This window comes from Homo sapiens, chromosome 16 (genome assembly GCF_000001405.40).
Source record: "Homo sapiens chromosome 16, GRCh38.p14 Primary Assembly".
Classification (NCBI taxonomy): Eukaryota; Metazoa; Chordata; class Mammalia; order Primates; family Hominidae; genus Homo; species Homo sapiens.
In genome coordinates, this window is record NC_000016.10 from 83,807,201 (window position 1) to 83,820,094 (window position 12,894).

General features: G+C 45.1%; 1 protein-coding gene across 1 annotated transcript, besides 8 other annotated features; it reads left to right on the plus strand.

The window, feature by feature from the left end:
* Window positions 572-1,073: an enhancer, noted in NCBI's record as "H3K27ac hESC enhancer chr16:83841377-83841878 (GRCh37/hg19 assembly coordinates)". NCBI's record gives its function as "activates a minimal SCP1, AML or CMV promoter by ChIP-STARR-seq in primed H9 embryonic stem cells {active_cell/tissue: H9 hESC(primed)}" and the evidence as "EXISTENCE:reporter gene assay evidence [ECO:0000049][PMID:30033119]".
* Window positions 572-1,214: a biological region, named in NCBI's record as "H3K27ac hESC enhancer GRCh37_chr16:83841377-83841878".
* Window positions 731-907: a silencer, noted in NCBI's record as "fragment chr16:83841536-83841712 (GRCh37/hg19 assembly coordinates)". NCBI's record gives its function as "represses an EF-1alpha promoter that drives an FKBP-Casp9 reporter gene in an ReSE screen in phorbol 12-myristate 13-acetate-treated (for megakaryocytic differentiation) K562 erythroleukemia cells {active_cell/tissue: K562(+PMA)}" and the evidence as "EXISTENCE:reporter gene assay evidence [ECO:0000049][PMID:32094911]".
* Window positions 778-12,537, plus strand: HSBP1 (heat shock factor binding protein 1). The gene is made up of 4 exons (NM_001537.4): window positions 778-921; window positions 1,480-1,546; window positions 2,105-2,225; window positions 4,221-12,537. Exons 1-3 carry the CDS (start codon window positions 877-879, stop codon window positions 2,221-2,223), a joined length of 231 nt encoding a protein of 76 aa, NP_001528.1. The 5' UTR covers window positions 778-876; the 3' UTR covers window positions 2,224-2,225; window positions 4,221-12,537.
* Window positions 925-1,214: a silencer, noted in NCBI's record as "silent region_7768". NCBI's record gives its function as "represses an Ori minimal core promoter by ATAC-STARR-seq in GM12878 lymphoblastoid cells {active_cell/tissue: GM12878}" and the evidence as "EXISTENCE:reporter gene assay evidence [ECO:0000049][PMID:35858748]".
* Window positions 5,728-6,239: an enhancer, noted in NCBI's record as "H3K27ac-H3K4me1 hESC enhancer chr16:83846533-83847044 (GRCh37/hg19 assembly coordinates)". NCBI's record gives its function as "activates a minimal SCP1, AML or CMV promoter by ChIP-STARR-seq in primed H9 embryonic stem cells {active_cell/tissue: H9 hESC(primed)}" and the evidence as "EXISTENCE:reporter gene assay evidence [ECO:0000049][PMID:30033119]".
* Window positions 6,240-6,751: an enhancer, noted in NCBI's record as "H3K27ac-H3K4me1 hESC enhancer chr16:83847045-83847556 (GRCh37/hg19 assembly coordinates)". NCBI's record gives its function as "activates a minimal SCP1, AML or CMV promoter by ChIP-STARR-seq in primed H9 embryonic stem cells {active_cell/tissue: H9 hESC(primed)}" and the evidence as "EXISTENCE:reporter gene assay evidence [ECO:0000049][PMID:30033119]".
* Window positions 6,752-7,263: an enhancer, noted in NCBI's record as "NANOG-H3K27ac-H3K4me1 hESC enhancer chr16:83847557-83848068 (GRCh37/hg19 assembly coordinates)". NCBI's record gives its function as "activates a minimal SCP1, AML or CMV promoter by ChIP-STARR-seq in primed H9 embryonic stem cells {active_cell/tissue: H9 hESC(primed)}" and the evidence as "EXISTENCE:reporter gene assay evidence [ECO:0000049][PMID:30033119]".
* Window positions 9,754-10,953: an enhancer, noted in NCBI's record as "BRD4-independent group 4 enhancer chr16:83850559-83851758 (GRCh37/hg19 assembly coordinates)". NCBI's record gives its function as "activates an origin of replication core promoter dependent on BRD2, P300/CBP, MED14 and CDK7 cofactors, and independent of BRD4, by STARR-seq in HCT116 cells {active_cell/tissue: HCT116}" and the evidence as "EXISTENCE:reporter gene assay evidence [ECO:0000049][PMID:35650434]".
* Window positions 12,538-12,894: the final 357 nt, after the last annotated feature.

The following is a 12,894-nucleotide window of genomic DNA, read 5'->3' on the forward strand; positions in this document are numbered from 1 at the left end:
GGAGCTGACCCCTCACATAGCACAGTCCTTAAATGAGATGTGTGAAAGTTTCCAGAACATGCCAGGCCCGCAGTCAAGGACTCTCCTATCCCCTTGCCATGAGACCCAATCCTAAAGACCACCTGTGGGGTTGGAACTTGAGGTTCCAAATCAGCAGTGCCCACCTCCTTCAACACCCAAACCCACAGTCTAACCCTGATGCCGGAAGCCTTCCCCACTCAACAGCAGGCATTGCGTGGAGTGAAAGAAGCCAGGCATGATGGACAGCTTCCTGTCTGAATCCCCTCATATGAACCTGACGGGCACAATGAACCTACTGGGCTAAACTCCAGACGCTGGCCACCTTCATAGGGTGGAGATGACAGAACAGGACAGGAGCCATGGGGCTCCCGGGGCGGGTAGGGGTGGGTCATGTTCCTTGGCTTGGGGGCAGTTACAAGGGTACAGTGGGGCTTGTTGAAGGGCAAAAGTTCTGTAAGTTCGTCCCGACAGGCCAAAGAAACCCCAGAGCCGTCTTTCGACTGACTACAGCCTGGAAGAGAGGCCAAGACCACTCCCTGCCTCTATTGCTCCATTTCTGAGTTGGTCTCACTTTCCACCCCACTGACGGCGCGCTGCGTGAGGGGCGGGGCATAGAGGGAGGGGAGGGGCTATGCGAAAGAAGGCGGGGAGAGTGGGGTGGGGCCGCTCCTTGGAACGGAAGCGCGCGGCCTCGAGGCCCTTCCGGTGCGGGAGAAACTACTACTCCCATAATGCCCCGCGGTCCCGCGAGCTGCCAGTCTCGTCGCGAGAAGCAGCGGCCCGGGGCGACTGAGCGGACAAACGGAAGTGTAGGTTACGGTCTGAGACATCACCGCCAAGCTGGGCATCGGGGAGATGGCCGAGACTGACCCCAAGACCGTGCAGGACCTCACCTCGGTGGTAAGGGACGGCTGTGAGGGCCGGAGGCCGCGGCCTTCCCGGGCGGCGCCGGGCCAAGCCCTGCTGGACAGAGGCGCGCCCACCGCGGCCGCGCGTGGCGTCTGCCGAGGCCCCGTTTCTGGAAGCGTCTCTGGCCGAGGCTCCCGGCCACCTTGACCCCCGGGGCGCTCGGTGCGGGCCAGTCTCCCCGCGGGCGCCCCCAAGCCCGACCCCTTCCAGTAGCCCCATTCATCTGTCGCGAACGCCCTCCGGGTCCCTCCCGCCTACCTCTGACACCCTCCCCGCCCTTCAACTCCTCACACACCCCCGGGTGCCCCAGCCCGGCAGAAACAACCTAAAGACCCTGAGCTTTGAGTCGCAGCGGCCTCCCCAGCCCAGCAGTCTAATTGGACAGGTTGGAAAACGGAAGCCCAGAGAAGGAAGATCTTGCTGAAGGCCGCACAGCTGTCCAGAGGCAGAAATGGGGCTGGAACCCCGGGACCAGGGCTTGCGTCCTGATCCCAGGAAGTTGTCTCAGGATCGATGTGGACCGTGTTTGTTTGTTTCGGTTTTTCTTAGGTGCAGACACTCCTGCAGCAGATGCAAGATAAATTTCAGACCATGTCTGACCAGATCATTGGGAGAAATATCCTTTTTATCTGCAGTCGGCCTCCTGTGGGCCTTTGGAGCCTATTTGCCGGGCAGTGGTGGGGATAAATGAGTAGTTTTCAGGCTAGCTTCAGCCATTCACTTGTAGAATTTGAGCTTGGATTGTACTGTGTTTCTGAGAAGGACTGCGCCGAGAGCTAGGGGCAAAGCTGAGTTAGACTCCTGGCTCAAGGAGCATACGTCTACCAATCCTAATAGCTGGTGTGGTGGACCATGCACTGTGAACTAAGCGCTTTTGTGTGTGTCTTTTGATGCTCAGCATGACCTTATGAGTGGGTTGTAGTGTTATCATCTTTAGCAAATGAATAAATTGAGGTTTAGGGGTTCCATCACTAGTAAGGGTCAGGGCTGGAATCCGATGCGGGGTAGCCATGCCCCACAGTCCTGTACTCTTACCCACCAGCGTGTAACAGTGTCGAAAGAAAATTGGAAGACCAGTTTCCCTAAAGTCGTTGTGTTTAAGGCTGTAGTCTGCAGGGACGGGAGGAAAAAGGCTCAATGAGATGTTGGCACGCGTTGTCTTTAACTTCAGCACTTGATGATATGAGTAGTCGCATTGATGATCTGGAAAAGAATATCGCGGACCTCATGACACAGGCTGGGGTGGAAGAACTGGAAAGTGAAAACAAGATACCTGCCACGCAAAAGAGTTGAAGGTGAGGAAGGGGGCAATTTTTTTTTTCTTTTCTTTTCTTTTTTTTTTTTTTTTTTTTTTTGACACGGAGTTTTGCTCTTGTTGCCCAGGCTGGAGTGCAATGGCACGATCTCGGCTCCCTGCAACCTTTGCCCTCCTGGGTTCAAACGATTGTCCTGCCTCAGCCTCCCGAGTAGCTGGGATTACAGGCTTGTGCCACCACACCCAGCCAATTTTGTATTTTTAGTAGAGACGGGGTTTCTCCATGTTGGTCATGCTGGTCTCGAATTCTGACCTTGAGTGATTTGCCCGCCTCAGCCTCTCAAAGTGCTGGGATTACAGGTGTGAGCCGCCGTGCCCGGTCTTTTTTTTTATTTTGTCTTAAAAGAATAGAGAGAACCTGTAAGTATAATTTGTATGTAGTCAGACATTCTGTAGATCAGTTCCCAGCCATGATCCCAGCAAGCATCACTGTATTGTTTACCTGCTGTGGACTTGATGTTTTGAAATTTTTCATGCCAAACTCATTCTTTACACCGAATTTATTTTCCCAGTTTTTATTAATTAGACTTCTGTCACTATTAGTGAAGACCACTGGCTAACATTAGATAACCACTGAGTTTTTATCATTCCAGCTAATAATTAAGGTGTCTTTTTGTTGGCCTATAAAGCCTGTCACTGGAAGATTTTCCATTGCTTTTTTTTTTTTTTATGGAAATAACTGATAAGTCACCCACATTACCACCTTCTTAAATGGCTTAAATTCTGGAGACTTTCTTGGTAACTTGACATAGGTGAACTAGATTGTGGCCACATTAAGCTTTTACCCTGGAGTTCATTTAAATTTCCTCTGAATAGTTTCAGATGTCAGAGGAAAGCCTAGTAATTCAAAGTACCTACACAGCAAGATAGGTAAATGTACAGAATCACTCAGCAGAGTGCATGGTGATCCTTTTCCTCTGTATGTGTGAAAAATAAGTTTTAGACTCACTTTTCTCTTGTTTCATTTATAACATTTTAATTCTCTATAAAAATGAATGTTGCTGAGGGAGGCGGAGGTTGCAGTCGAGGTCACGCCACTGCACTCCAGCCTGGGCGACAGAGTGAGACTCTGTCTCAAAAAAAAAAAAAAAAAAAAAAAGGTACTGGTGCGTGGTGACTCATGCCTGTAATCCCAGCACTTTGGGAGGCAAAGGCAGGCAGAGGGCAGATCAGTTGATGTGAGGAGCTCGAGACCAACCTGGCCAACATGGTGAAACCCTGTCTGTACAAAAATTAGCTGGGTGTGGTGGTGCACGCCTGTAATCCCAGCTACTTGGCAGACTGAGACAGGAGGCAGAGTTTGCAGTGAGTCGTGATGATGCCACTGCACTCCAGCCTGGGAGACAGAGCAAGACTCTGTCTCAAAAAAATAAAATAAAATGGTTCCTGAGTATTTTTAGATTCGTAGAGTACTAAGCAGAATGTACAGTAAAACATGCCTAATTTCCTATTTTCTGGGCTTGCTGTGGACCACATTTTAAGTCACTGTGAAATACAGATTTGGGATGTTGAAGACAGACTCTAAAATTTGCTTTTATCTTCACAGTAGGTGGGGTTCATTCACTGTGTGAGTAAATCACATAACTGCTTTCTATGGGTTATGTCATCGTTATTCTTATCCAGAGATAATTTGGAAAAATGTCCTACCAGTCTCAGATGCTTCTGTGGGTCTCTTTTTATATTATGTGGCAATCAAAACTGCCATCAACTGACTGATTATCTTACCACAAGAATTTCAGGATGGTAGACTGGCTAGTGATGGGGGTCATTCAAAGAAAAGAGTGGGAGTAGGAAACTGACTCTGAAACTTTTAAAGATATTTCCAGTTAAATCTATTGCTAAAATATTGCCAGAAGAAAATAAGTTTAACTCAGTAGGAGAGTGGAAAGGGATTTGTAGTTGATAGGTCTATATGTCATTTTTACTTGTGCTCATATAATGAAAAACATGTTGATGATTTTTCCTTCTTCAACAGGTTGCTAATAATTTATACTGGAATCTGGCATTTTTCCAAGCCAAGAGAAGATCGAATGGCTTTTTGCAGCTAACTACTATGTGTAGACAGGTTTTATATTATAAAGTATGCATTCTTATCACCTAGTATATAGTTAGTTTGTAGAGTGATTTCCCCCCAGTTTCTTGAACATGGTATCTTCACATCTTGGACCTTGGTCAGTTGTGCTATTCATTATTAAACACTAAAACTTTGGCGGTTCTTGCATAACATTGTCAGATTTTTTAGTGTATTTCTGTGAAGTCATTTTTTTTCTTGTCATTCCTTTTGTAGTAGTTGCTGTTTGGATAAAAGTTGATGTGTGATTTTTTATTAAACAAATAGTAAACCCTTCAATTATAGTTAGTCTTGGTGAAGTAAGATGTTTGTAGACTTTAGAGTTCTTTAATTCTTGGCACAACGTGACTGTTGAGCTAACACCAAATAGTGTGTTGGCAATACTTTTCAAATGGCTGAAAACACCTAAAAATTGTTCATTCAGAAATATCTGTCACTGCTCTGTTGCCAAAACTCAGAATAGAACTTAGACGTATGTCTGAGTCCCTGAGATCACATGCTAAAGTCGATGAAAAGTAACCACTGCCACTGTCTTGTGTCAGAACTTTTACAGTACAGAAAATAACAGAATAGCCTTCTGTAATGAGGCGTTTGTTAGAGTTTTGCATGAGATTCTAATACTTCAGTAGGACCCTACCTACGTGGTTCATCTACAATGGTTACCATAAAAAATCTGGCAGGATTTTAAAACTCAATCAGTCTTTCCTTTGAGCTAGTGACTTGAAAAGAAAGAGAGAAGGAAAAGAGACCATATTAAGTCCATGCCAGTTGCTTGGCTAGAATATGATCAACGACTTGTAGTAGACTCAAGTTTTTAAAAAACACTATTTTACTTAAACTGTTTCTTATCTAAATTCTTGCAGAGTGTCAATGTTATCATTGATTATAGAAGACAGGGATAATACCTTTATCTCTGGCCACTCAAAAATGCAGTGCCAGGAGTGCTAAACCTAGAGGCCAATACTGATGACCTGGAAGGTGATCCATATGATTGTCACCACAAAGTGCTTTTACACAAAAACTTGAAAATTTGAAAAACATGATTTTTTTAAGTTTCTCATCTCACCAGTCTTGGTGTTTATATTGCAAATCTATCAAAGTAAGAAATAATTTGTGCTGTATACAAATTACATGGGGAACATAAAGGAGTGAGATCCTTCTGTGATAAAATGAATTCACCACTCTGGTTACCCAACTACAGAACCTCCTTTGATCAGGCCAGTAGGTTGTGATGCAGGCTGGAGCCCCCGAATGCCCCACACACACTGCAGCATTGACCAGACCATCCGAAACCTGCGTCCCTGGTGATGTTCTCAAGCCTCGGAAGTGGCAAATGGAAATGATATGGCCGGTTGCGGTTGTAGGAGAGTTGTGACTTAGGCAGGAGTCGACCTCCTCAAGTAATGGAACGATTTCAAAGGCAGGCTGCCCTGACCAAAAATATCTGCCATGAATAAAGGTGCCTGAAATCCTGCTATGAAGCTTCCTTTGTGTCAAAAATCTGTTTGGTTTTCAGATGGAAATGCAGAAATCACATTAGAGTATCAACTAAAACCTCTGGACGGATTAAGTACAAGTAGCCCAAGGCAAAGCAGGAGAGGGGGTGTTGGGGGAGGTTGCCTGCTGGAAGGGGAAGCTGAGGAGCGGGAGGAGGGCTTGCCAAGACTGGCATTGCAGGAGACTTGTCTCAGGTGTGTTCCCAGAACTCTTGCCCCTGGAGATGCTGCAGGAAGGAAGGGGTTATGGTCACTTGGGTTTAGACGACATTCTGTGAACCTCATGAAGAAATTAGCATATTAAAGACTCTGAAAGTAGAGCAGAGAACTCAGCTTTAACCTGCTCACCTGCTAGTTTTCGAGGTCTCGCTCTGTTGCCCAGGCTGGAGTGCAGTGGCACAGTCATAGCTCACTTGGAGCCTGAAGCTCCTGGGCTCAGGCAGTCCTCCTGCCTCAGCCTCCCAAGTAGCTAATATTACAGGTTCGTGCCACCGCACCTGGGTCTTGCTGTGTTGCCCAGGCTGGTCTAGAACTCCTAGGCTCAAGCAGTCCTGTCTCAGCCTCCCAAAGTGCTGGGATTACAGGCTGGAGCCACCATGCCTGTCCAAGGGTCTTTTTTATACTATATGAAGTATTCCTTCTCCAGCTATTCTTGTTCGTTTACCAGCCAGTGAAGATTCTCTTGAGGGCTGAACAATACAGATGAGTATGGGGGCCCTCGCACCAAGGAAAACAGCGTTACATTTAATTAAGTGCCCTGTCTCAAACCCCAAGGCCCCACAGCTTCTTCATTTGGCCCCTAGTTCATCCTGCTTTCCTTTGAGCCACAGGATTTTAAAATATTTCAATCTTATTTTCATATCAATTTTTTCTTTGTTTCACTACAAGTACAGTCATTGTTTAACCCTATCAGGACTAACACAATATTTCACGTAACTAAGAGTTAATTTGCCCTTGTGAGTCCTTGGAATTTAAGCCCCACACACACACACTTAGAGCACTGTTGCTATGGGAACATAGAGTCCTCCAAACAAAAGTGAACTTTTTCAACATGCTGTTTGTAAATGGAAGCCTTCCCAAGCAGACACTGTGTTCCTCTTTTATTTTGTATTTTGCACATTATATATTTTGATTAGATTAAAATGGAGGAATTTGCAGGATGTGTTGTCATATCTAGCCCTGAAAGTTAACTGGTTACAGTTACCAAATGTTCACAGCTAGCGCCATTGAAAGCATTGACTGTAAACCGCTGTACTGTGCTAAGCCTTTTGTTTGCACTGTTTGGCTTAATCCTCACAACAACACTGAGAGGTTTTCATTTGATGAGTCATATTTAAAGAAAAGGAACCCAAGACGGGGAGTCAGGGGCACAAGGTCACAGCTGGTAATGATGACCCTGGAATGTCCTCACAGCTGCACACCTGCACCGCTCACAAACACAGCTGACCGTCTCACAGCTGCACACCTGCACCGCTCACGAGCACAGCTGACCGTCTCACAGCTGCACACCTGCACTGCTCACGAACACAGCTGATCGTCTGCCTCTTCGTGTGAGCTGAGCTCCGAATCTCAGCTGTCCAGGCTGTCTGGAAATCATCAGCCCCACTGGCTGGATCTCAAAATTTACTTTCAAAAGGCTGATGGAGTGTTTTCAATTAAACATGACCTAAAATTAAGTAATAAACACACTGGATGTGAGTTTTTATTTGGAATTTAAACTATTCAGAGCTGGTAGAAAATGTGTGCTCCTGGATCAGTGCCTTTTTTCTCCTAAATCAGTTGAGAACAACAACAGAAACAAATGACATTCCTCAAACATTTGCCCAGAGCACAACCACGGGGAATATGAACCACAGGTTTTCACATTGGTTTTCCATGCCTATACCTGTCCTGTCTCCCACAAAAATTATTGCTTGAGGCCCAACCCGGGGGATAAAAAGACACCCCCCCGCCACTCCGTGACCTATTAGCTTACCATCCTATTGGATTTCACTGTTTTTTGTTTTGTGGTGTTTTTTTTTTATTGCAACGAAGACTTTTAAATGGACTCATGAAGAAGCCATCACCTGGAATCTTAATCTTGCATTAATTTTAAGTGTCTGATTTTAGCTGCAGCCACTTGAGAACTTTTCAATGAATGAAAATGAGGGAGGGGAGATGCAAGTCACTGCCCAAAAACAAAACCAGAGGAATTGTGATTGAACATTGCACTTATCAACCCTACAAATTAATATGGAAATAGGAAAAGGGTTTGTTTCAACAAGTCAGGATGACAGTATTTTAAAAAAGAAAAAAAGGCCAGCCTGGGCAATATACTGAGACTCCATCTCTACAAAAAAGTAGAAAAATTAGCCCAGAGTGTGGTGGCACACATCTGTGCTCCCAGCTACTCAGGAGGCTGAGGTGGGAGGATCATTTGAGCCCAGGAAGTCGAGGTTGCAGTGAGCTGTGATCGGACGACTCCACTCCAGCCGGGGTGACAGAGCAAGACCCTGTCTCAAAAAAAAAAAAAAAGGGCGGATCCTAACGCTTGGTCCTCACACCTGAGGCTCTCACTAAGAGGTGGCTGGAAGCTCCTCAGACCGCTGCCTAGGGTTCGAGTGATCCTGAAAGCTGTACAACATCAGCCTCTGTGGGATCCCTGAGAATGATGAAATGTAATATGTGGCTGTCTCATCAACAGAGCTTCATTTTACCAAAGCATATGTAGACACCACATACATGAACTACATACCTATCGTGTAGATGCTGCCCTGCCTCATAAGAACACTCTTGACTGTCCTGCTTCACAATAATAATCTTCGCAATAATGATCTAATAATGGTCAAATTCTGTGTCTCTACCGTAGAAAACAGAATTTGACCATTTAGTCACGTTGGTCTTGCAAAATGTCCACCTTCCAAAAGAGAACAGTATTGCTTCCCAATAATTAAGAATAGTCTGGATTCAGGATCCAGCAGCTTAGAAGCGTTTAGCTACCAATAGCAAAAATCAGCCCTTTTAACAATGGTGGGATGTATTATTTCACATGGCAAGAAGTCCCAAGGGAGGGCAGCTCTGGGGCGAGTAAATTCTGCACCTCAGTAAAACTAAGAGCAAGACCCGGCCGGGCGCAGTGGCTCATGCCTGTAATCCCAGCACTTTGGGAGGCCGAGGTGGGTGGATCACCTGAGGTCAGGAGTTCTAAACCAGCCTGGCCAACATGGCGAAACCCCCGTCTCTACTAAAAATACAAAAATTAGCCAGGCGTGGTGGTGGGCGCTTGTAATCCCAGTTGCTCGGGAGGCTGAGGGAGGAGGATCGCTTGAACTCAGGAGGTGGAAGTTGCAGTGAGCCGAGATCGTGCCACTGCACTCCAGCCTGGGTAACAGAGCGAGACTCCATCTCAAAAAATAAAAAACAAAAAAATAAATAAAAAATAAAAAGACCCAACCCCAGATTTGTTCCACCTGGGTGCATCCGGTCAGAGAATGCCTTTCTTCTTCCCTTTTGTCTCCTAAGAGTGAAGAAAATGTTTCTTTGAAGGTGTTTCCACCCCACTCCTGTGCCTAAAATGATCCTGGCAAACAGGACCCGCATGATAGGTTGAGCCATGTGGTTCTTGTTTTTTTGTTGTCACAACTCAGGTTGGGGGTGTTACTGGCATCAAGAGTGTAGAAACCAGGGATGCTGCGTCAACACCCTACCATGCACAGGACAACCCTCACCCCAAAGAGTGGCACAGCCCCAAGTGTCAACAGTGCTGAGGTTGAGGAATCCCAGCTTAACCCATTCATGAGACCACCTGAGCCTGGTGTAACGGTTCTGCTGATAGTTTCCGGACCCTCAGAGGTGGAGACATAAGAGAACAATACCAGGGTTCCATCAGAAAGGAAATCAGAATGGCTATCGGGTGGACAACCTACAGTGTTTGCTACAGACCTTCTAGATGTAACTTCTAGATTATAAACACTGGTAACACTGGAGATGGTTAAATCGGAATTAGCTGACTGTCAACCTTGGTGGCACATTAGAATCACCTGGGGAGCAGTTCAAAGGCCCAAAACTGGGCAGCACCACAGAACCCTCACATCAGAATCCCCATGGGTGGGCCCAGACAGCAGTGTTCATCTTAGACTCCAGTGTGCAGTCGAGGTCGAGAACTGCATTCAAGAAGGCCTGTCTACTGCGAACCGTCCGATGATGTAATTCACCAAGTTCCATGGGATTCCGCCACGCCCGTGTCAACCCAGCTGACACGTCCAACTTGGACAATCAGGGCTTTGACCCCCGTTACCTGGCATTCAATTCAATCCATGTGTCACGCATGCCCCAACAATTTGTGTCCCAACTGTTTGAATCAAAGGATTTCTGATTCCCTGATGGGTGATGACTCAGTAACCGGATTCAGCTTCAGATCTGCCTGACATTTTTCCTGCCTGTCCTGGGCCAGGTATGGCGCTAGCTGCTTTCACCTGTATCATCTCATTCACTGCTCAGAGGCTCTCGAAAGCTGTTGACATTATCAAAAAGTTTTCCAGCTGGAATTCATCTCCCTCTAATCAGCCTTCAAAACCTCCATTTGTAAACCATTGCTGTAGTTTTATTACCTCTTACCTTGGTCTTTACAAGTTGCTGTCAAAACCCAGTAAGTGTTTACAGAAAGAAACTTTACATATTAAATATCTTAAAGGTCTTTTATGCAGAATATGCAGTTAATTTTGATGGGCTATGGATAATCATCAGAAGAGCCATTTCTGGAAATGTAAATAATATGGCTGTTTCTTTTAACAGTGCATTCTCCTGAAAACATAAGACCATTTGACTGATTCTGCTCCAGAATCTTATTGAGGCAAAGGACTGGACCGAATTATTCATGGAACAGAAGCCTAGGACTGGTAAGTCCAGGAAATGCTGCAAAACAATGCCCTCAAAAGAAATCAGCCTTTCCCTTTGATAGGTATCTCTCCTGCAAGCCAGGCTCAGGTGCGCCTCAATTAGAACCTGTGTTCGCTGGGGCCATAATTAAGAATCTTAAAGGGAAAGAATGTTTTGAAAGCCATCTGTCAAAAGTACGCAGTCTTGCTTGTAGAATTTTAGAGGTTCATGGTTACCGTGGGTCGGCACTGGGTCTGTGAGCCCTCATCCCCAGGGCTCGGTTTCCTATCAGAATCCTTGTCTGGAAGGTTGATTATATCAGATGCGCATTTTGCCAGCATCCTCAGAAGGAGATGCGAGGAAGATTCTTTTCCTGGGCCACTCTCATTTTCTCAAACTTGGACAAGTCTTAACAATAATCTGTGACCCAACTTTGTCTTCCCCATGATGAAAAACAGACCCCATAGAAACTCTCTGGCACAAAAACTCTGGAATCACTGACCCCAGACATTGTTCCCTGCCATCCACTCTGCCAGACATTTCTTGGATTTATTCAAGCTGACTTGTATTCCAGAACAATTGTGGACAAGATTTGCTAGTAATGCTTCCAACAAGTTACCGTTTAGCAAGTTCAGAACTTGAAGAATCCCTTTTATCCTAACGCTGACTAATAAACTGGTGAGAACTGTTTGAAATACCCATAAGTCAATGGAGGTCGTAATTTGCTTTTATGCTGTATTAAACACCACTGAGATGTTAAGGTCTTTCTTGGGAACCACCGTGATGTTCTCTTCTGGACTCTTCGTAACCCCTTCAGCAGACGACCCTGTATCTGGTCTTGGTTCTGAAAGGTTTGCAGCGGCACCTAAGTCACTGAAGTTCTGGCAGAATTCATTCTCCTGCTCTCTACTGGGACTTGTTTTCCATAATTGGTCTGAGAACAACAGATTTTTTTCTTTTTTGCCTCGGATTTCAACAAAACATACATGGAAAGAATATTTTCTTCCTTGGAGACATTTCCCATAGGGCAGTGGTTCTTAAAATACGTTCCTGAACCGGCAGCATCAGAATCCCCTGGGAACGTGCTGGAAATGTAGATCCCCAGGCCCTACCTAGCCCTACTGAATCAGAGACCCTGGGAGGGAGGTCCAGCAGCCTGGGTTTTAACACATCCTCCAGGCGATTCTGAGAGTGAGAGAGCCAGGGCCTTCGGGCATCAACCTTGGGGCGAGGGTGTTGGGTTGCCCAACACCCTTTAGTCTAATGGCTTTAGGGTCAAATATGTCTAAACCAAGAAGCCCCATGGGGCACTGATTAGCATGCAGGTCCCCAGGCCCCCTTTTTGTAGATCCTGATTCAGAATATCTGGGACGGGGGCTGGAGATTCATATTTTTAATAAATTCCCTCATTTATTATTTTTGTGTCTTATTTCCCATACACAAAAACACTGCGTAGAGAAATGGGAGTGTGGGCGATGCTCCCATGCTGGGAGTCTCAGGCCTGGGCTAGTCCTAAAATAATTGAAAAGGAATTGATTCTTAATTACCCAGAACGTCCACGCTCTAGGACCTAGTGTGACCTCTTCTGCCTTCTGAACCGAGGAGTCCACCCCTAAGCCCGAGGAACTGAGCGTGAAGAGCCCTGACGCCATGAAGACTTGAATCACTTTAAAGCAATTTGCTTCTTATTAAAATGTACTTCAGTAAAAAATCATTTCAACTCTTAAGCCACAAAAGGATATCCAATCATTTAAAGCTTCCTGAGTGTTTCGGTTGATTAAAAAGCTTTTAAAGAGCATAGTAAATATTTTACCAGAAGGATAAGTTATTCAGTATGGAGATTATTTATTAAAAACTAGTAATTTATTAGTTCATTTATCTTTATTTTCGTGTAAGTGCATTCTTTTAATCTAGGCACACTTTTTTTCTATTCCCTCAGCAGGTTAAGCTGCCACTTGACAATTCTGTAACACATAAATGTATTTAAATAGAATTTAACTTGTGAAAATAACAAGATTTCACTAATAATGGAAAAGATAGCTATAAAATTACAGTTTAATTTGAACTTTCGGAGAGTTTTAAGCACAGTTTCATGCACTTAAAAAGGAATCACATTTGCTGTTTTGAAAAAAGAACAAGATTCTCACTTATCACTTGGGTCATTGATCCTGAAGGAAATAACTAATGCATAACTTCTTTTTCTTATAGCTGGAAAGGAAAACATG

Bases quoted from the DNA above. Each gene is read 5' to 3' on its own strand.
- HSBP1 (NM_001537.4), top strand. From the start codon at position 877: ATGGCCGAGACTGACCCCAAGACCGTGCAGGACCTCACCTCGGTG. The intron at 922-1,479 runs GTAAGGGACGGC...GGTTTTTCTTAG, and splicing joins TGCAGGACCTCACCTCGGTG to GTGCAGACACTCCTGCAGCA. The intron at 1,547-2,104 runs ATATCCTTTTTA...TAACTTCAGCAC, and splicing joins TGACCAGATCATTGGGAGAA to TTGATGATATGAGTAGTCGC.